This window comes from Homo sapiens, chromosome 4 (assembly GCF_000001405.40).
Source record: "Homo sapiens chromosome 4, GRCh38.p14 Primary Assembly".
NCBI classification, from domain to species: domain Eukaryota; kingdom Metazoa; phylum Chordata; class Mammalia; order Primates; family Hominidae; genus Homo; species Homo sapiens.
In genome coordinates, this window is record NC_000004.12 from 95,245,908 (window position 1) to 95,264,064 (window position 18,157).

Consider the following 18,157-nt stretch of genomic DNA (forward strand, 5'->3'; position numbering starts at 1 on the left):
AATTAAACAATTTCTAACAAAATTATTTCCTTGTAGCTAAAATATAATACAACTAGTATATGCATCTGTTTCCTGATACTAAAGAAGTGTATTAGCCATTCAAGTAACACAAACCTTATATGTGCACAGCATTTGCCCAATATTTTGTTTTCTAGAAACCTATACAATAGGGAATAATCATGAATGTTATATTTACAGACAGAAACATTTTTTACAGCAACTTTATTTAATATAAAGATGAATAATTGGAAACAACTGTAATGTTCAAAAACAAGACAATGGCAAAGCCAGCCACATATGTTCATGTAATGGACTCCTGGACAGCCATTAAAAGTGATACTGTAGAAGGCTATTTAATAATTCATGAGGCTGGGTGCAGTGGCTCATGCTTGTAACCCAAGCACTTTGGGAAGCCAAGGAGAGAGTATTGCTTGAGACCAAGAGTTCAAGACCAGCCTGGGCAACATAGCAACACCCTAGCTCCACAAAAATTAAAAAAAAAAATTAGCAGGTCATGTCAGCATGTGTATATAGACCCAGTTACTCAGGAGGCTGGGGCAGAAGGATCCCTTGAGCCCAGGAGTAGAGGCTGCAGTGAGCTATGATCACATCACTACACTCCAGCCTGGGCAACAGAGTGAGACCCTCTCTCCAAATAAATAAATAATACATGAATGTTTCAGTATGTTTTAAATAAAAGTAATGTTTATGGATACATTATGCATAATGTATATGTATATAATTTTATATAATATGTATACAATACTTAATATGTATTTATACATTTTAAATTATAAAAGATGTATAATATAACAATGTATAATGCTTATTTTTAAATCTTATGTATACATATAAAGTACTGGTAGTATATGCCAGGTGCAGTGGCTCATGCCTATAATCCCAGTACTTTGGGAGGCCAAGATGGGCAGATTGCTTGAGTCTAGGAGTTTGAGACTAGCCTTCATCTCTACAGAAAATACAAAAATTAACCAGGTGTGATGGCACATGCCTGTAGTCCCAGGTACTTGGGAGGCTGAGGAGGGAGGATCATTTGAACTCAGGAGACAGAAGTTACAGGAGCCAAGATTGCGCCACTGCACCCTAGCCTGGGCGACAGTGAAACCCTGTCTCAAATAAAAAAATAAAAAAAAAAGAAAGAAAATTCAAGTAGTATACATATAATTTTTGTTTAAATGCTATCTCTGGGTGGCAGAATTATAGGTATAGGTATTTTCTTCTTTGACCTTTTCTGTATTCCAAATTTTCTTTAATGGATGTATATTTGCAATCTAAAAATTACATTAACAAAAAATATATAAAACAGTTGCTAAATATGAAATACTGGTTAGATATATATGTTTTCTATGGAGTTCTGGTGAGTCCAACCTATGAGGCTTGGACAAGTTATTTTAGGAGTTAATGTAAAGGACAAGCAGATGGTAGATAGGTAGGGTTTCAGTGAGTGTTCCAAAAAGCAACTTAACCTGCTCAAGTTTACAAAATTCCCTGCCATGGAATTGTCTGTATAAACTGCTTACTAGCATACTGGCAAGCTGATATTTGGGGTTTAGGATATATGTACTGTTCTGCTGGGATTTTAATGAGAAATGAATAATCAGAAATTTTCAGAGATGAAAAAGTCTTTGAAGATCGTAGGTTTATCCCTTCATTTACAGAGAAGGAGGCAAGGGCTCAGAGAATCCTGGTTAAAAGACCCTCTGAAGATCAGGTAGTGACAGAAATACTCCTATGACCCAATATTCCTGACCCCAGTCCAAAGCTATTTCCTTAATTCTAAATACTAAGTTACTTGCGTTTGATCCTTCCTAAAGACAACACATTCATTGTATTTATGGATATTGAAAGCATAATATACATAGGAAGAGATTTGCATGTGCATTAAACATCTATATAATACAACTATATATAGTCTGCCTTCATTAGTTATTTATGACTGGCACATGCTGTGATTGTGCCCCATTTCTTTCTTGCATTTCAAATGTTGTTAATCAAGTCTTTCAGGCAGTTTAAAAAGAGATAAGAAGAAGAAAACATTTTATTGTGATTTAAGAAAGGCAATTGCATACAATTCAACACAGCCATTATCTGGACTAGGAAATTAAACCTCAGGGTAATCAGAGGATCAAAAAATTTTTGTGCCATTTTTCCTGTAATTAAAATGACATTTTTAAAGCAGCACTACATTCATCCTTTGGAACAGCATAGTGGTTTCTCTTCTCATAAACACACATCCATCTGAATGGTACTGTGGGGTAGGCAATATTTTACTTCCACTCTTTTAGGATTTTTTTTTTGGCTGGGCCTAAGAATTAAATTGGTGTAACACAAATCAACAGGAGAAAAACATGTAAATTTACTTAATATAACTTTTACATGGCCTAAGAAAATGAAGACCCAAAGATGCAGTTATAGTTGAATGCTTATATATTGAATTGGACAAAGAGTAGCAAGTTATGAAAAAGTCAATTATGTGTTAAGGCTAAAAGAAGATTAAGAGTTATTTTAATAAGATCGATACAGAATTATCTGGATCGTAACTTCCCCGTGGTCTCAACTTCCTGTCCTTGAGGATAAGAATGTTACTTTCCTTCTGGTATAGGGAAGCCATCTTTCAGCTGAAAATCTCCTCTCCTGCTTTTAAGAGACAGGACTAGCAGAGTGATCTTGAGCCCGCTGTTTCTCAAGGACCTTTAATGCAGAAAATAGTCAATATGCCAAGTGGCATATTTTGGGGTGACAAATTCTTAACTCCTTCAGTCCTATCATGTACCCCATAACATTTCAGTCAAGGACAGACTTCATATACCATAATGGTCTGTTCCATAAGGTTATAACAAAGCTGAGAAATTCCTATCACCTAATAACCTCATAGTTGTTGTAACATTGTGGTGTATTACTTTACTTTTTCTACAAATGTGCTATAGCCTAAGTGTAGTGTTCATAAAGTCTACAGCAGTGTAGAGTAATGTCCTCTGCCTTCCCATTCACTCACTACTCCCTCATTGACTCACCCAGAGCAACTTCCAGGCCTGCAAGCTTCATTCATAGTAAGTGCCCTATACAGGTTTATCTTTTTTTTTATCTTTGATATCTTATTTTTATAGCACCTTTTCTATGTTTAGATATATAAATGCTTACCATTTTGTTACAGTTTCCTACAGTATTCTGTACAGTAACACAGTATACAGGTTTGTAGCCTAGGAGTAATAGGCTATACCATCTATCCTATGTGTGCAGTAGGCTATACCATCTAGGTTTGTGTGAATACACTCTATGATGTTTGCCCAGTGATGAAATCACCTAATGATGCAATTCTCAGAATGTGTCCCCATCATTAAGTGACACATGACTGACTGTACTATGAGCCACATACTTGCCAGTGGGTCTCCCCCTCCTTCAGTCAGTAAGACTCCAAGGCCCACGGAGTTTAACACTAAAACAGTGATAAAAATCTTCATTATGTTCTAAGAGGTGGTGAGGCATGGGGACATCATTCTGGAGGTAGCATAACCTCTAAATACTTCCCAGGTTGTTCAATTTCCTCTGAGACAGTAAAACATCAATAATATGAGGAACTATTAGAGGTCTAACATTGTGAGAAATATGTAAATATATAGACCAGTCTCTCAGTCTATCAAGGAGCTTAACTTTAGCTGGGGAGATGAATCTACTCATGAAATGACTAGAAAATAACTGAGTGCTAAACCACACAGGGAGATAAAAGCATATGTGCCACATCAGAATGGGGTATGAAATTGCTTAGTACTTCCAGAGAATTGATAGGTTTAGAGATGAGCTGGCTTAGAAAGGACCAGGGTGTGGGAGGAATCTTCCTAAGAAGTTGCTTCGTTGGACTTTAGCATATCGTTAGGATTAGGGCCACTTGGCCAGATAAGGCAGCCCTTATCTTCACTCTGCACACCTCTGATGGAGTGAGTAGAATGAGTTATAAGAAGCTAAAATTGCTCTAATGTATTTTGGGAATAGGTCAGCTCCCGCTTTCTGAGGGTTTGCAATGATAAGACTGAGGTGTTAGGTCCACAGAAACATCAGCAGGCTGACAGAAGCATATTCATCTTTAGAACTCAATCTAGATCTTGGTGGTGCAGGTTCTGGAGAGAAGAGGGCTTATAGAAGCAGCAGGCACTCAGGTAGGCTTCCTTCGCTTTCCTAGAAGCTGACTGAGAAAGGGCTGAGGTTGTCTGAGCCTATCCTTTCATATCAGTACGAGGAAAGCAATTAAACCTCATTGCCCCTGTGAAAAGCAGCAAGCAAGCAGCGATGGAGATTGAAAAGGAGCTTCTAGAACCGGGCATGGTGGTACATGCCTGTAATACCAGCTACTCCAGAGGATGCTGAGGTGGGAGTATCCCTTGAGCCTAGGAGGTTGAGGCTAGAGTGAGCTACGGTCATGCCATTGCACGCCAGCCTGGGTGACAGAGCAAGACCCTGTCTCAAATAATATGAAATTTTAAAAAAAGGGCTTCTAGCTTTACCGATGCCAACGAGAAACTGCAGTTAAACATGAACTAGATTGAGACCCTGAAGGGCCACTCACCATAGACTATGACAGTGGCAGTTGTACTTTTCCTCTTGGCAACAATGTTTTTGGCAACACAGGTGTAATTTGCAGTATCAGAGAGTCGGGCCTGCTTTATGATGAGGTTGTGATCAATAGTAATATAAAAATTCCGATCTTCAACGGGATCAATTATGTCTTCATTTTTCAACCATTCCACCTAAAGATAAATGAGAAAAGTAGATAAATCCTCAGCATGGATCCCCTGATGGCTGTCTGTCCTAACCTGCATTTTGTACACTTGATCTTAGCCAAAAGGCCGAGAAGCGATACCTGTGTTTTGTAATATGTACAATGTTGTTCCAGGCCATGAACTTCTGCAAACTGGTGGGAAGTAACTTTCCAAGGTCATGTTAAGTATCACTCACCTGCCAAACATGCTGATTCTGTCTGTACTACATTATTCTCAAATGTCAGTGAACCAGTTGGGAAATACAGTGTTCAAATTGTTTTCACTTTGCCCTGCAGGCACGAATGGGGAATGTGTGCTGCCAAGTTCAGAACCCAATAAAAAATAATAGGATAAGCGTTTCAAACTGAACTCAAACCTTTCACTATTTGATTTGTTTACTCTTGGCAACTTACCTGCTGCTTTTCAGAAAAGAATAGAAAGACTATTTTTAAAAGCACAAAAGGCATTTTAGACATCACATAGCTGTAATAAAATAACATTTGGATGGTTTACGTGTAGCCTCACTGAAACGTATGGATTAAATATCCCTGAAAATACCTTTCAAAATGTAGCAAAACACATAGTTGGAGATGTATCTAAGCCAAATTTTTTTTTAAGTTTTTCTACCAATTCTTAATACAATCTGAATAGCTTACAAATCATACTCAAATCCCTCCTTTTGTATAATGCTAACATTCAAATCTTTGGCTCAGGGTGTGCTTTTGGGGAACCTGACCTTAAGACATGACCATTTAAAACTACTGAACTATTTTTTTCTATGTGAATAATATTAATGTAGTAATAGTGATGTTATACTTGCTGAATAAAAAGAGGAAACATACCTGTATAAGCTGTTCTTCTGGAGGTAAACTACTTCTTATTCTGGCAGTTGCCTTTTGTTTTTCTATGCACAGTTTTTTCCATAAAGCAAAACAACAAACAACGTTGATATTTACCACACTTAAACTCTCCTTTTGCATTAGGGTGAATGTGGATACAGGTAACCTTTAGTGGTAGGGAGTCAATATTGTTGCCATTTTCAAAACCTTAAGGAGCTACTCTAGCACCACAAGACGTCTAGAAATTAATCTCTAAATCTGTCAGTGGGTTTGACATTGCACAACTCTAAATTACACTTAAGGCAGGGACTCTCAAATAATGCTCCTCTAATCCTTAGAAGAGAAGCCAACATTTATAGAGAAAAATAAAAATCAACAACAATCCTGAAATATAGAAACATATGAGGTTGTAGAGTAGAGAAACTATTTGTAATGATGTAAATGCTGAAAAAGCTAAACATTCTTGATATTTGCACTCAGGGTAGTGAGAAAAAGAATAGAATCTATTTACAACAGTGGGTGTTTTAAATATGTATTTTGTTTCCAAATACAGACTCTACATTCAGTCAGAGATATGCCTGAGTATCTCTGAGATATATACTCATATTCACTTGACCTGGATTTTCTCAACGTTTCACCCTATGTGTGGAAATACGATCCTGCTGGAAGTGCACGGGAGAAGGTGGCACAATTTATACTGTTAAAAATCTCTTTGATGATAATTAAAAGTTGAAATTAATAGTTTTTGAGTGGAATCTTTACCTAGGTTATCTATGCCCTTCTAAAGAAAGCCTCCTATCACACAAAGCATGGACAGGCTCCCTTAGTCTCAGTTGTTCTTGCATCCCTTCTACAATTTTTGTGCTCAGTGTGCTTCTCTTTCAAGTACTCATACCTGGCCCTCTTCTCTGAAGAGCAGCCCTCAGGCTCACGGATTGTTTTTGCCAAGGATTTTTTATAACTTCCCCATTAGCCCCATTAGCCATTGACTAATGGGTGCAGAAATATGACTTCTGTCTCATTGGGTCAGAATCTGAGCTGTAACTTTCCAGAAGTCCCTTGCAGGGATGAGGCTGCAGCTACATCCTTGAGACTGGACCTGAATTGACACTATTATAAATGGAGCATACCTAATCCAAAAATCTGGAATCTGAAATGCTCCAAAATCTGAAACTTTTGAGCACCAACGTGACACCACAAGTAGAAAATCCCACACATGACCTCATGACCGGTTGCAGTCAAAATGCAGGTGCGTAACACACAGTTTATTCAGCATCCCCAAGGGAATGACGGTGACACCAAACAACCATAGATTGTCCACATGAGTGACTCACATAGTGATCCCTTTGCTTTCTGATGGTTCAGTGTGCACAAACTTTGTTTCAGGCACAAAATTGTTTAACATATTATATAAAGTTACCTTCAGGCTATGTGCATAACATGCATATGAAACAAATGAATTTCATGTTTGAACTTGGGTCCCATTCCCAACATATCTCATTATGTATATGCCAGTACTCCAAAACCTGAAGTCCAAAACAATTCTGGTCTCACACATTCTGTATAAGGAACATTCAACCTGTACTAGGCTTCTTTCCTCTCCTGCTTGCTCACCCACTTACAGGGTTCTCCTGGAAGCACTTTCTTAAAAAACTACTCACATTCATACCTTTGGTTCATGGTTTGCCTCTGGAGAACCCATAGCTATTCAAAACTACGGTTCCTCCTATGTAAATGATGTCAGTTTAACAGTGATGTTATCCTAATCATAAACAACATAAAGAAGTCCCAAGGGATATTAGAAACCACTTGTTTGTATGAAGAGTTTATTACATGGAAGAAAGTGTTCAATCTGCATGGTTGACAAAAGATTTGAAGAGACATGATTGCTGGGTATATGATCTTCACTCGATTATACATAATTACACATTTGCCTTGGGTGTCTCTTGCCTGTGTTGGAGCAGTGGTTCTGACCTGAACCTCAGGACCCCTGAGAAGCCCCAGCAGTGTTTGACGACCCCTGTGGGGGACACTGCTCTCCTCCCTTAACTCCCACTTGAATCACAGAAACTCTGCTTTTATCTGTTTTCCATACTGGATTTGCTTTCACGCCTTTGTTTCAAGAAGCAAAGGGTCCTACAGCTAGAAAATAGCTGCGGGAATGAAGAGGGGGGCCCAGGACTCCTCCAGCTTCTGACAAGACCCCACAGTCCCCAACACCCCAGTGCTGCCAGCCATATCACAGCACTCTGCTTTGAGACAATCATCTCCATGAAAGGCTCAGTGAGGACTGCAGGCCGCCCCTCACCTCCTGTGCTGTAATACCAGGGGCTACACATCACCAACTCCAGAAGTCCTGACACTCTTCCATACCGCCTGGAAGACAGCATGAAAATCTTCTAACATTTTGGTCTCTTTTTAGATTGTTTCCTTTACGTTTTTCTCATACTAAAGTCTAGGTCTTTCTGATGCCATTGTTTCTTCTGAAGTCCTCTGAAGGGGTGGATGTTGATTTCCCAAATCCAATGTGCCACTGGGTCTGGGGATGGGTAAGTGCTGTGCTTGCTCAGCATTGTGTCTTTCAGACTGTTCTCTCTAAACATCTTTGCCTTGAATCTCATGTCACCAGATTATATCACCCAATTTTGACTCTTTTTTTGTTTGTAGTTATTTACAGACCTCTGGGCTTATAGTCACTTTATCTAAAGCATAATTTCTGAAGAGTTTAATAACCACAAAGGTGACGCTTCCAACGTCTTGGCCCTTCAGTTCCATGACCCTCCATCCTGCAATGACCTTATCCTCTAAGGTCACACATTCTAGGCCAAAGGTTTTCAACTCCGCTTCACAATAGAATAATGTGGAAAACATTTGTAATATATTAATTCTAAATTCAACCCAGAGAAGCTAAATCCAACCCACAAAAACTCCAATTCACTGGTCTAGCATCAGTGTGTTTTAAGCTCCCCAAGGGTTGTAATTTACTGTTAGGGTTGAGAAATACCAGTCTAGATCATTGCCCTTAAAAATGCAATCCCTGGATCAATAGCATCAGTGTCACTGGGAGCTTGATAGACATATAGAATCTAAGGCTCTGCCCACCTATTACCAAATCAAAATATGCATCCTAGTAAGAACTTCAGGGGGTTATATCCACACTAAAGTTTGAGAAGCATGATTTAGCTCTTGTCCTTATCATCAATTACAACTCCTCCATAAACTTAGTTCCAATTATCCTTTCCTTTACCCTTTTCTGTCTTTCCTATTCACTCTAAGATACTGAATTCAATAATCCTTCACCAGCACCTACAATCTATTGAATTTACCAATTTGTTTCTCAGACTTTCAAGTATAAATTCCAATGTCTAGCTTTATATATGATTCTTGCATTATACTGTCAATGCTCTCATCCCTTTGTCACTTCAAGATATTCACTTGGCCACTATTTGCCTACAACACCACTGTGTGTTGTTTTTTGTTTTTTTTTTTTAAGACAAAGTCTCACCGTGTGCAGTGGTACAATCTCAGCTCACTGCAGCCAGCCTCCACCTCCTGAGTTCAAGCGATTCCTGTGCCTTAGCCTCATGAGTAGCTGGGATTACAGGTGCCCACCACCATGCCAGGCTAATTTTTGTATTTTTAGTAGAAATAGGGTTTCACCATGTTGGCCAGGCTAGTTTCGAACTCCTGACCTCAAGTGATCTGCCTGCCTTGGCCTCTCAAAGTGCTGGGATTACAGGTGTGAGCCACCATGCCCGGCACCCCGCTCTGTGTTCTTGAGGTGGAACATGGGTGTAAATAGCCATGGAGAGTGGGCTCATCTTAAAATTCATAACAGATCACAAGTGGGCCTTTATTTCTGCCAAGAAAGCACATTATGTTTTCATTGTTCACTTTCTCCTTCTCCTAGATAACTATTTCACACTCCTCTCCACTACCTCCCCTTCTAGCCTCACTTTCAGCTGATGACCAAGATTTCTATGTCACTGAGAAAACTGACAATCACAAGACATCTTCCAGGGCTCTCCCACTATCTGTGTCCTCACCCCCATCTGCACCCTGTCTCTTATCACTGGGGGAGCTCTCTGTGTTCCTATCTGTCACCTCGGATTTGTACTCCGTATCTTAGTCTCGCTCTTCTATTCAAGGGCAAGTCCCAGCAATTCTCTTCTTTCTCTCCTAAATTATTCAATTTCCCTTGATACTGAATCATTTCCACCAGCCTGCAGATGTGCTGTTAGCTTTCAAAACTTAGAACAAAAACCCTTCTCACCCGTTTCTGCCTCTACTCACCCCCCGCCCACCACCTATATTTCTCTGCTTGCCCTGCCTTACAAAACTCCTTGGAATAGTTGTTTACATTTGCTGTCTTCAATTCCCCACTGAGCCCGCTCTAATCTGTGTTCACTTCCACTGCTTCACCATAGCTGCTCCTTTCTCTTTGCTAAATGTGCTGCTGAGGTCTTAGTGCTCATCTTACTTGACTCACAGCAGCACGTGATCCGGTTACTCCCTTCCTCCTCCTGACTTGCTTTCTCTGGACAGCACACTTTCCTGGGTTTTGTCCTACATTGCTTCATGCCTCACAGCTTCCTTAGGCTAACATTTGTGTCCCTGTGGCTCGGTCCTTGGAATTCTGCTGCTTTCTATTTTCTATCCATATTCACTTCCTTGGTGAGCTCATCCAGTCTCACACAGATGACTCCTAAATTTATCTCCAGCCCAGACCCCACCGCTGATCTCCAGACTCGTATATCCAACTGTCTTCATGCAACTCCACTTGGTTGTCTGATAATGACCTCCTGAACCGCCTTTCCAAACCTGCTCCTCTCACAGTCTTATGCACCTCACTTAATGCCAACTGTAGCCTTCCAATTACTTAGACAAAAGCCTGACTTAGTGTTGACCACTTTTTTCCTCTTTCTTAGCCCATTCAATGTTAGAGCAGCACACATTAGGAATTGGACCACTTCTCATTCCCTCACTCCCACCTCTTCCTGGTCCAAGTCACTATCGTTTCCTTCCTGAATTATTGCAAACACTGTTTGTCTTATCTTCTGCTTTTCCTCTGAAAACTCAACTGTCTATTTTCAAGACTGTAGTTAGAGTGATCCATAAACTGTAAGTCAGAGCATACTATATGTATGAGTCAGAGTTGTCTAGAGGGACAGAACTAAATAAATATATATATATATATATATATGAGTTTATTAAGTATTAACTCACATGATTACAAAGTCCCACGATAGGCCTTCTGCAAGCTAAGGAGCAAGGAGAGCCAATCCAAGTCCCAAAACTAAAGAGTTTGGAGTCTGATGTTTGAGGTCAGGAAGGGTCCAGCATGGGACGCTTGCTAAATGTGCTGCTGAGGGAGAAAGATGTAGGCTGGGAGGCTAGGCCAGTCTAGACTTTTTATGTTTCTGTGCCTGCTTTATCCTGGCTGTGCTGGCAGCTGATTAGATAGATGGTGCTCACCCAGATTAAGAGTGAGTCTGCCTTTCCCAGCCCACTGACTCAAATGTTAATTTCCTTTGGCAACACCCTCACAGACACACCCAGGATCAATACTTTGTATCTTTCAATCCAATCAAGTTGACACTCACTATCAACCATCACACTATACCTCATCTCAAACCCTCCTAATGGCTCCTTCTCTTACTCAGTGTCAGCGCTGAAGTCCTTACAACCAGCCTGGACAACATAGTGAGACCACACCTCTATAAGAAACATGCAAAAATTAGTAGAGCATGGGGCATGTGCTTGTATTTGCAGCTACTTGGGAGGCTAAGGCAGGAGGATGGCTTTAGCCTGGGAGGTCAAGGATATAGAGAGCTATGAGTGCACCACTGCACTCCAGCCTGGGTGACACAGCAAGACACTGTCTCCAAAAAACAGAAAAGAAAAGAAAAAAGTGGCATAGGGATAGGAGACAGGGAGAAAAAAAAAATGGATTCAGACAATAATTGGAAGGGACAGAGGACAGGACATATGAGTTGACGGTATGTGGAAAGGGGGGTGCAAGGGGCACTCATCTTCCATTTCTGGCTTAAGGACCCATTTACGGAGCAGGGATACAGGAGGCAGAAAGTAATTGAGGGTAGAAAGGATAATGATTCAGATTTGGCTGATCTCACAAGGAATCCAGCTAGCACAGCATGATTTTGACAACAGGTAAGTTGCTAAAAATTCCCATTATTTCCATGAACAAAGTGAGTTTTTCTCTTAAAGTTTTGAAATAATTTTTAAAAATAACCCTGAGGACTTCTGCTTCTTTTGGATCAGCTTTATCTTAGCATTAAGAACTGAACATGGATATTGATAAAAAGGATATTTGCAGGGCCAGCATGGCTGCAACAACATTTATTACCATTGTGGCTTAGATAAAAATGATAAAGCGTTAATAAAACTTAGAAGATGAATGGAAAGGAAAACAGTGTGTGAGAATAATTCTGTTTATCATGTAAAGGATTGTCTGAATCAGCAAATCAATATAAGAGCCATAACATACAATTTAAAACATATAACCTTTTCATGCAGTATTTCCAGAACACACACTACTAAACTAACATTCTTCCATGTGAAACAATTCCACAATGAGTCTCCTTATATACACTGTATATAAAATTCCAAGAAACAATACAGAATCTTTTGTTGTGTTAGAAATTTATTGCATTGAATAGTATGTAGTTAATTATATTGTTGCAAAGCTATTTATTTGTAAGCTAATCTTGGTTAACCAGGAGTCAGTACTCTGGTCTGGCCACTGAATTCTGTTCATATTTTGGTCATTTCAATGCTTTTTGTTGATTTCAACCTGAGGCTTCTCTTTTCTCTACTCCTTCCATTGAACAAACTGATTTATACAAGAAAGTAGTCTTTCTGAGTTAGAAATTATTTTTAGTTACATAAAAATATTCCAAGAGAAAGAAAAACAGGTTGGAGTTCAGAAAACAATAAAAGACTTCAACCATAAACCATGACTTGTTGTCATGGTTGCAATGATGCAAAATAATGTTCAAACAATTTCTGTCCTTGTGGTTCAGTAACTATAGTCCTTTCAATGATTTGGGGCATATTTGAACTAATTTACTCAAGTGTTTATAAAGGCATGGGATTTTATTAACAGGTACTAAAAACAGTTACACGGCAATATTAGAATGACCTGTTTGCCTATTCTGCTGTTGTTTGGTGTTATTAGTCCCACTATGTGTAATCGACCATCTTATTCTTTTTTTTTTTTTTTTTTTTTTTTTTGAGACGGAGTCTCGCTCTGTCGCCCAGGCCGGACTGCGGACTGCAGTGGCGCAATCTCGGCTCACTGCAAGCTCCGCTTCCCGGGTTCACGCCATTCTCCTGCCTCAGCCTCCCGAGTAGCTGGGACTACAGGCGCCCGCCACTGCGCCCGGCTAATTTTTTGTATTTTTAGTAGAGACGGGGTTTCACCTTGTTAGCCAGGATGGTCTCGATCTCCTGACCTCATGATCCACCCGCCTCGGCCTCCCAAAGTGCTGGGATTACAGGCGTGAGCCACCGCGCCCGGCCTCGACCATCTTATTCTAAGGAGCAGTTCCTAAAGTACCAGCTAAGAGGGCTGCTTTCAACTGCTTGGGCCCAAAACTGAACTCTGCGATTTTGGAGCTAATGTTTATGTCTCCCGTGGGCAAGTGTCTTATCTTCTGTATGCCTTAGAGTCCTCATTTACAAAATGAGGATAATTTTAGAACCCATTATAAGGTTCTTAAAAACTAAATGAATTAATACACAAGACACCTACTGTCTGGCATACAGTTAAGTATTTGAAAATAATTATTAACATTTAGTTAAGGATATACTAAAAGCGGTGAGACAAACCCCAAACAACCCTAAAAAATAAAAGAGAAATGGTGTTAATCTAAAAACTAGAAGAAAAATATTTAACACCTGAGTCCTTTCAGCCTTCGCTGGCATTTCTGTGGGGCAAAGTCCACTCAATATTAGGTTATAACTCTTCAAGATTGCACTACAAATATGTAAGTAATTGAGTATTAAATTGGCCAATATTGTTTGTATGCTAACCCTAAATACATATTTTCCTTTAAACTCTATGAGTTTATAATTCTAGAGATGTCATTAGCATGCATTTGCTTTATAGGTATTAACATTTTAATTAATCTTCATAAAAATTATTTTCTAATTCTAAAGTATAAGAAAACATTATCAGTTTTAAAAAAATAAGTAGAAAAGATTTTTAATGAAACACAGGTTATTAAAATAAAAGAAATATTCACTATCATACTTGGTAATGAGGCATAAATGATAGGCAATTTATATTACTATTATTTTTACCTAGACCATCTATATTTTTATAATTTTTAATTTACTTTTATGGGTTTTCCATTTCTTTTCTCCTAGTACTTCAAGCCAGTCTACTTGTTCTTTTAATGACATCAGTCTCTCAGCCCCATACCATGGCATACACATCATTAGCTTCAACACCCTTATCCATGTCCCTAAGAGATGGAATTTTCTTCCAGCCACCTCTGCTTTCCCTACCACCCTGAAAGTACACCTATGTTGGTCCTATGACTGCACTGGTCCCCAAAAAGGGACTGTCCCCCATCTTTTTCCTCATTAAACTTTGTTTTCATGGGACTCAAAATTCTGTGACAGATTTTTGGTCAAGTTGTTTCCATTAAAAACTATAGATTTTAAAAACGAATAATTGCCACATGCAAAACGAAACAAAAAAACCCCAAAGTAGTCCACAAAACAGCCTCCTTTCCTTCTGAAGGTTTTACGATGCATTGTTATCATTAACCAGTCTTTTACCATTAAACTTAAACAGCCAATTGAAACAAACAGTTCTGAGCCCATTCTCCCACCACTGATTAAGACTGGGGTGGCAGGTATTAGGGATGACATTCATTTAGCCTTCTGAGCTTTCTGGGCAGACTTGGTGACCTTGCCACCTCCAGCAGCCTTCGATCCATGGCTTTGATGACACACATGGAATAGTTGTCCCTGAGCTCTCTTCTTTGCTTTTCTCTCTCCCCACAGAAAGGATTCTGGGGCAGATGGGCTGGTCTAATGGGAAAGGAGAAGTGAAAATTATGGGACACATTCTGTGTTAAAGAATAATGACCATTCTTTAGGGTAGGAAAAGTAGGGGATGTGACCTTGAGGGGAAGAGGGCACCTTGTACTCCCTAATGCAAATCATGAGAATCCTGACCTGGCTTTAGGGAGCAGAGAGAGTTCAAAAGAAGAACATTTTCCTTGTGCTGAAATTGGGACGACAGAGAAGCAGTTGGGAGGAATGGAGAGAAGTTGCCCAAGGGTAAAAAAGGAGAAAAACAAGAAGCTTGTATGGTGCATTCCAGGTCCCCAGCGAGGTGCTTTGTACTTAGTGATTCCTCCTCACAGCAGCCTGTGAAAGAAGTAGTTGCATTCCCAATTTTCAGATGAGAAGAATGATGCTCACAGAGAAGAGCTTGCACAGGTTTATAAGCTCAGAAAGGAGCAGAGATCCAAATTCAGGACCGCCTGAGCTCTGGACTCTTTTCTGTCCATAAAACCAAGAACCAGGAGGAGCCAACTACAGTGCTACAGACTTCAGCCTTGACAGAGTGGGCTGCAGATTACGAGATAGGGGCTGGAAAAAGCTGGGACACCAAGACACATACATTTTAGCTACTCCAGGACTTGGGTTGAGGCTGTCCTCAGGCTGGTGTCCCCAGGGAAGCAGAGAGGTCCTTAGAAAAGAAGCATTGGACACACTTTCTGTTATCAACATGACCCTGTCACTCATAGGACCAATACAGGTTTACTTTCAGAACTAGCAGTAGAATTGGGTGTGCTTTGATTTTAGGGGCATCAGGAAAGCCTCCTTACCCTCCAAAATTGCTCCCCCAAATTTTTGACAATGACTTGAAATGTCATTAAGAGAGACCAATTTTAAATTCCACTATTAGAAGGATCTCTTCACATGTAAATGACCTGGAGAAATAACAAACTAAATCATATAAAGTTTCCTAAAACATGGCATATAAATAACTAAGGGAACACTGCAGATAAAGAGGAGTTCAGGGTGCTAGGATTTCAAGATAGGGCTGGATTCAAGTATCCAGCACTATGCAAAAATTTCTAAGAGATATACAAACAAAAATATTTTTAAGGGAATCACAGTATATCTTTAACTTCCATATGAATTCCTTTTTTTTTTTTTGAAACGGTGTCTCGCTCTGTCGCCCAGGCTGGAGTGCGGTGGCGCGATCTCAGCTCACTGCAACAACTGCCTCCTGGGTTCAAGCAATTCTCCTACCTCAGCCTCCTGAGTAGCTGAGACTACAGGGGCATGCCACGATGCCCAGCTAATTTTTTCTATTTTTACTAGAGATGGGGTTTCACCGTGTTAGCCAGGATGGTCTCGATTGCCTGACTTCATGATCTGCCGGCCTCAGCCTCCCAAAGTGCTGGATTACAGGCATTAGCCACTGCGCCCAGTCTGCATTCCTTCTTATAACTAATATCTCTAAGAACTTGCCCTCTGCTTTTCAGAAGAAAGACATCTTTTGCATGAAAATCTTGCCATCATATATTACATGAGAGTGTAAAAACCTCTAGGGCACCAGATAAGGGAATAATTGGGAATATTAGTGTTGTAGTTGAGAAAATAAGGGACTGTAATAACTGGGCGACAAATCCTTTTTGCAAATCAGGTGGTTTAAATTCTTTGCTTTCATCAAAACTGAAGGAGGGCCTAATATGTCAAATGATGGGTCACTGAACATAAATTTTGATGACAGATCGCTATGTAATTTTTGACCTGTAACTTGGAAGACGTGCAGAGTTGAGGGACACTGTTACAACATAAGTCCACGTATTTCTACTTACTTATGTATGAGAAGGTTCTCAGTATTTGAATTCATTATAAATGACAGATAGAAATGTAATTGATTTCATCCTGTTTCATTTCAGCAGTAGCATTCAAACTAGGCTAAATGAGCTACCTAGACAGGCGAGCAGGGATGAAAACCTCATTTCTCCTATTAAAAGCTGTATTTCCAATAAAAATTCAGTCTTTATGCCAAGTAATTATTTATCAAAACTTGTAGTACATTTGGGTTTTTTAAAAAAAATTAACAATTTGATCCCTATGGTCAAAGGAGATAAAGTTTATACGCAAATTTTTATTACAGAGAAATATGATGACCAATGGAAATTTTTATGCCTAAAATTTATTCTATTAGAGTAAAAACCTATGGGGGAAATGGCATAGAAATATAAGTTAAAATAGAAAAAGGAATACTGTAAGTTTCCCTATTTTTTTTTTTTTTGAGATGGAGTTTCACTCTGTCGCCCAGGCTGGAGTGCAATGGCGTGATCTTGGCCCACCGCAACCTCTGCTTCCCGGGTTCAAGCAATTCTCCTGCCTCAGCCTCCCAAGTAGCTGGGATTACAGGCATGTGCCATCATGCCTGGCTAATTTTGTATTTTTAGTAGAGACGGGGGTTCCTCCATGTTGGTCAGGCTGGTCTCGAACTCCTGACCTCAGTTGATCCACCTGCCTCGGCCTCCCAAAGTGCTGGGATTACAGGTGTGAGCCATTGTGCCTGGCAAGTTTTCCTACTATTAAAGAAGAGTTTGTTCTTACATTTTCTTAATCGGTAATGTTGAGTAAGACATCATTATGGTGTCTGCATTCCATTGGATAACTTTAAGTCAACAATTCTTTTTAAAGATGTCAAATGTTTATAATATACACAGACATGGCATCTTTTCCCACTATTTAATTTTTTTGATAATATTTTTTAGATACCAACATAAAATGTGCAAGGAGATATGTATTTTTTAAGTCTTTTAGGGATATGCTAGCAAAAATTTTAAAGAGCACTTCACAAAGGCATGAGAGGATAGTGGTTCTGTTACCAAGCAAGAAATTCTACCAGGGGAGAATGAGGAAGGCTGAGAACTGGGAAGACTAAAGAACAGGGTAATAGGAGTGGGAGTTGGAGGTCAGTGAATGGAACTCTCCAAATATGTCTCCTGGATGCCTCTGCAGTTGTGTTTATGCTGCACTTTCACAGAAGCCCAGTGAGATTTTGCCAAAAGACACTCAAGTCTCAAGGCCAAAAGCCTAGAGATAGGACCCAGCTGTGCCATTCACTGAGTCTATGCTCTTCAGCAAGTCACATAAAATCACTCAACCTTATTTTTCTACTTCTACAACAAGAAAAGTAATATCTGTCCTAACTTCCTCATAAGGTTCTTGTGAGGTTTGAAAAGGATACTATATGTCAAAGCACTTTTGATGACTTCTGTATAACTCTGAGCTGGTGTTATGGTGATTTCTTCACATAGTAAATAATTTATTCTACAACATGTCCTTATTACTTTAAATAACTTACAAACTAAGATAAAAGTTTAGTAAACAGGGAAGAATGATATCTAGCATAAAATAAGAGATACTTAAAAATATTTTCAATGGATACATTTTCCATTAAATTCTGTCCTAAAGACACCATCTATTTATACATTTCCAGATGCTAGAACTCACAGTGTTCAGCAT

At 39.5% G+C, this 18,157-nt stretch overlaps 1 protein-coding gene across 4 annotated transcripts in view, besides 1 other annotated feature; it reads right to left on the reverse strand.

Moving 5' to 3' along the window:
* Positions 1 to 18,157, reverse strand: part of UNC5C (unc-5 netrin receptor C) — a 386,470-nt gene that overhangs the window by 83,404 nt on the left and 284,909 nt on the right. For all 4 annotated transcript variants that reach the window (NM_003728.4, XM_005263321.4, XM_047416346.1 and 1 more), the window contains one exon: positions 4,580 to 4,760. In NM_003728.4, coding sequence (NP_003719.3) covers positions 4,580 to 4,760 — 181 coding nt within the window. The remainder of the gene's footprint in view (positions 1 to 4,579; positions 4,761 to 18,157) is intronic.
* Positions 9,511 to 9,805: a silencer, noted in NCBI's record as "tiled region #12130; K562 Repressive DNase matched - State 5:Enh". NCBI's record gives its function as "represses a minimal TATA promoter and a strong SV40 promoter by Sharpr-MPRA in K562 cells {active_cell/tissue: K562}" and the evidence as "EXISTENCE:reporter gene assay evidence [ECO:0000049][PMID:27701403]".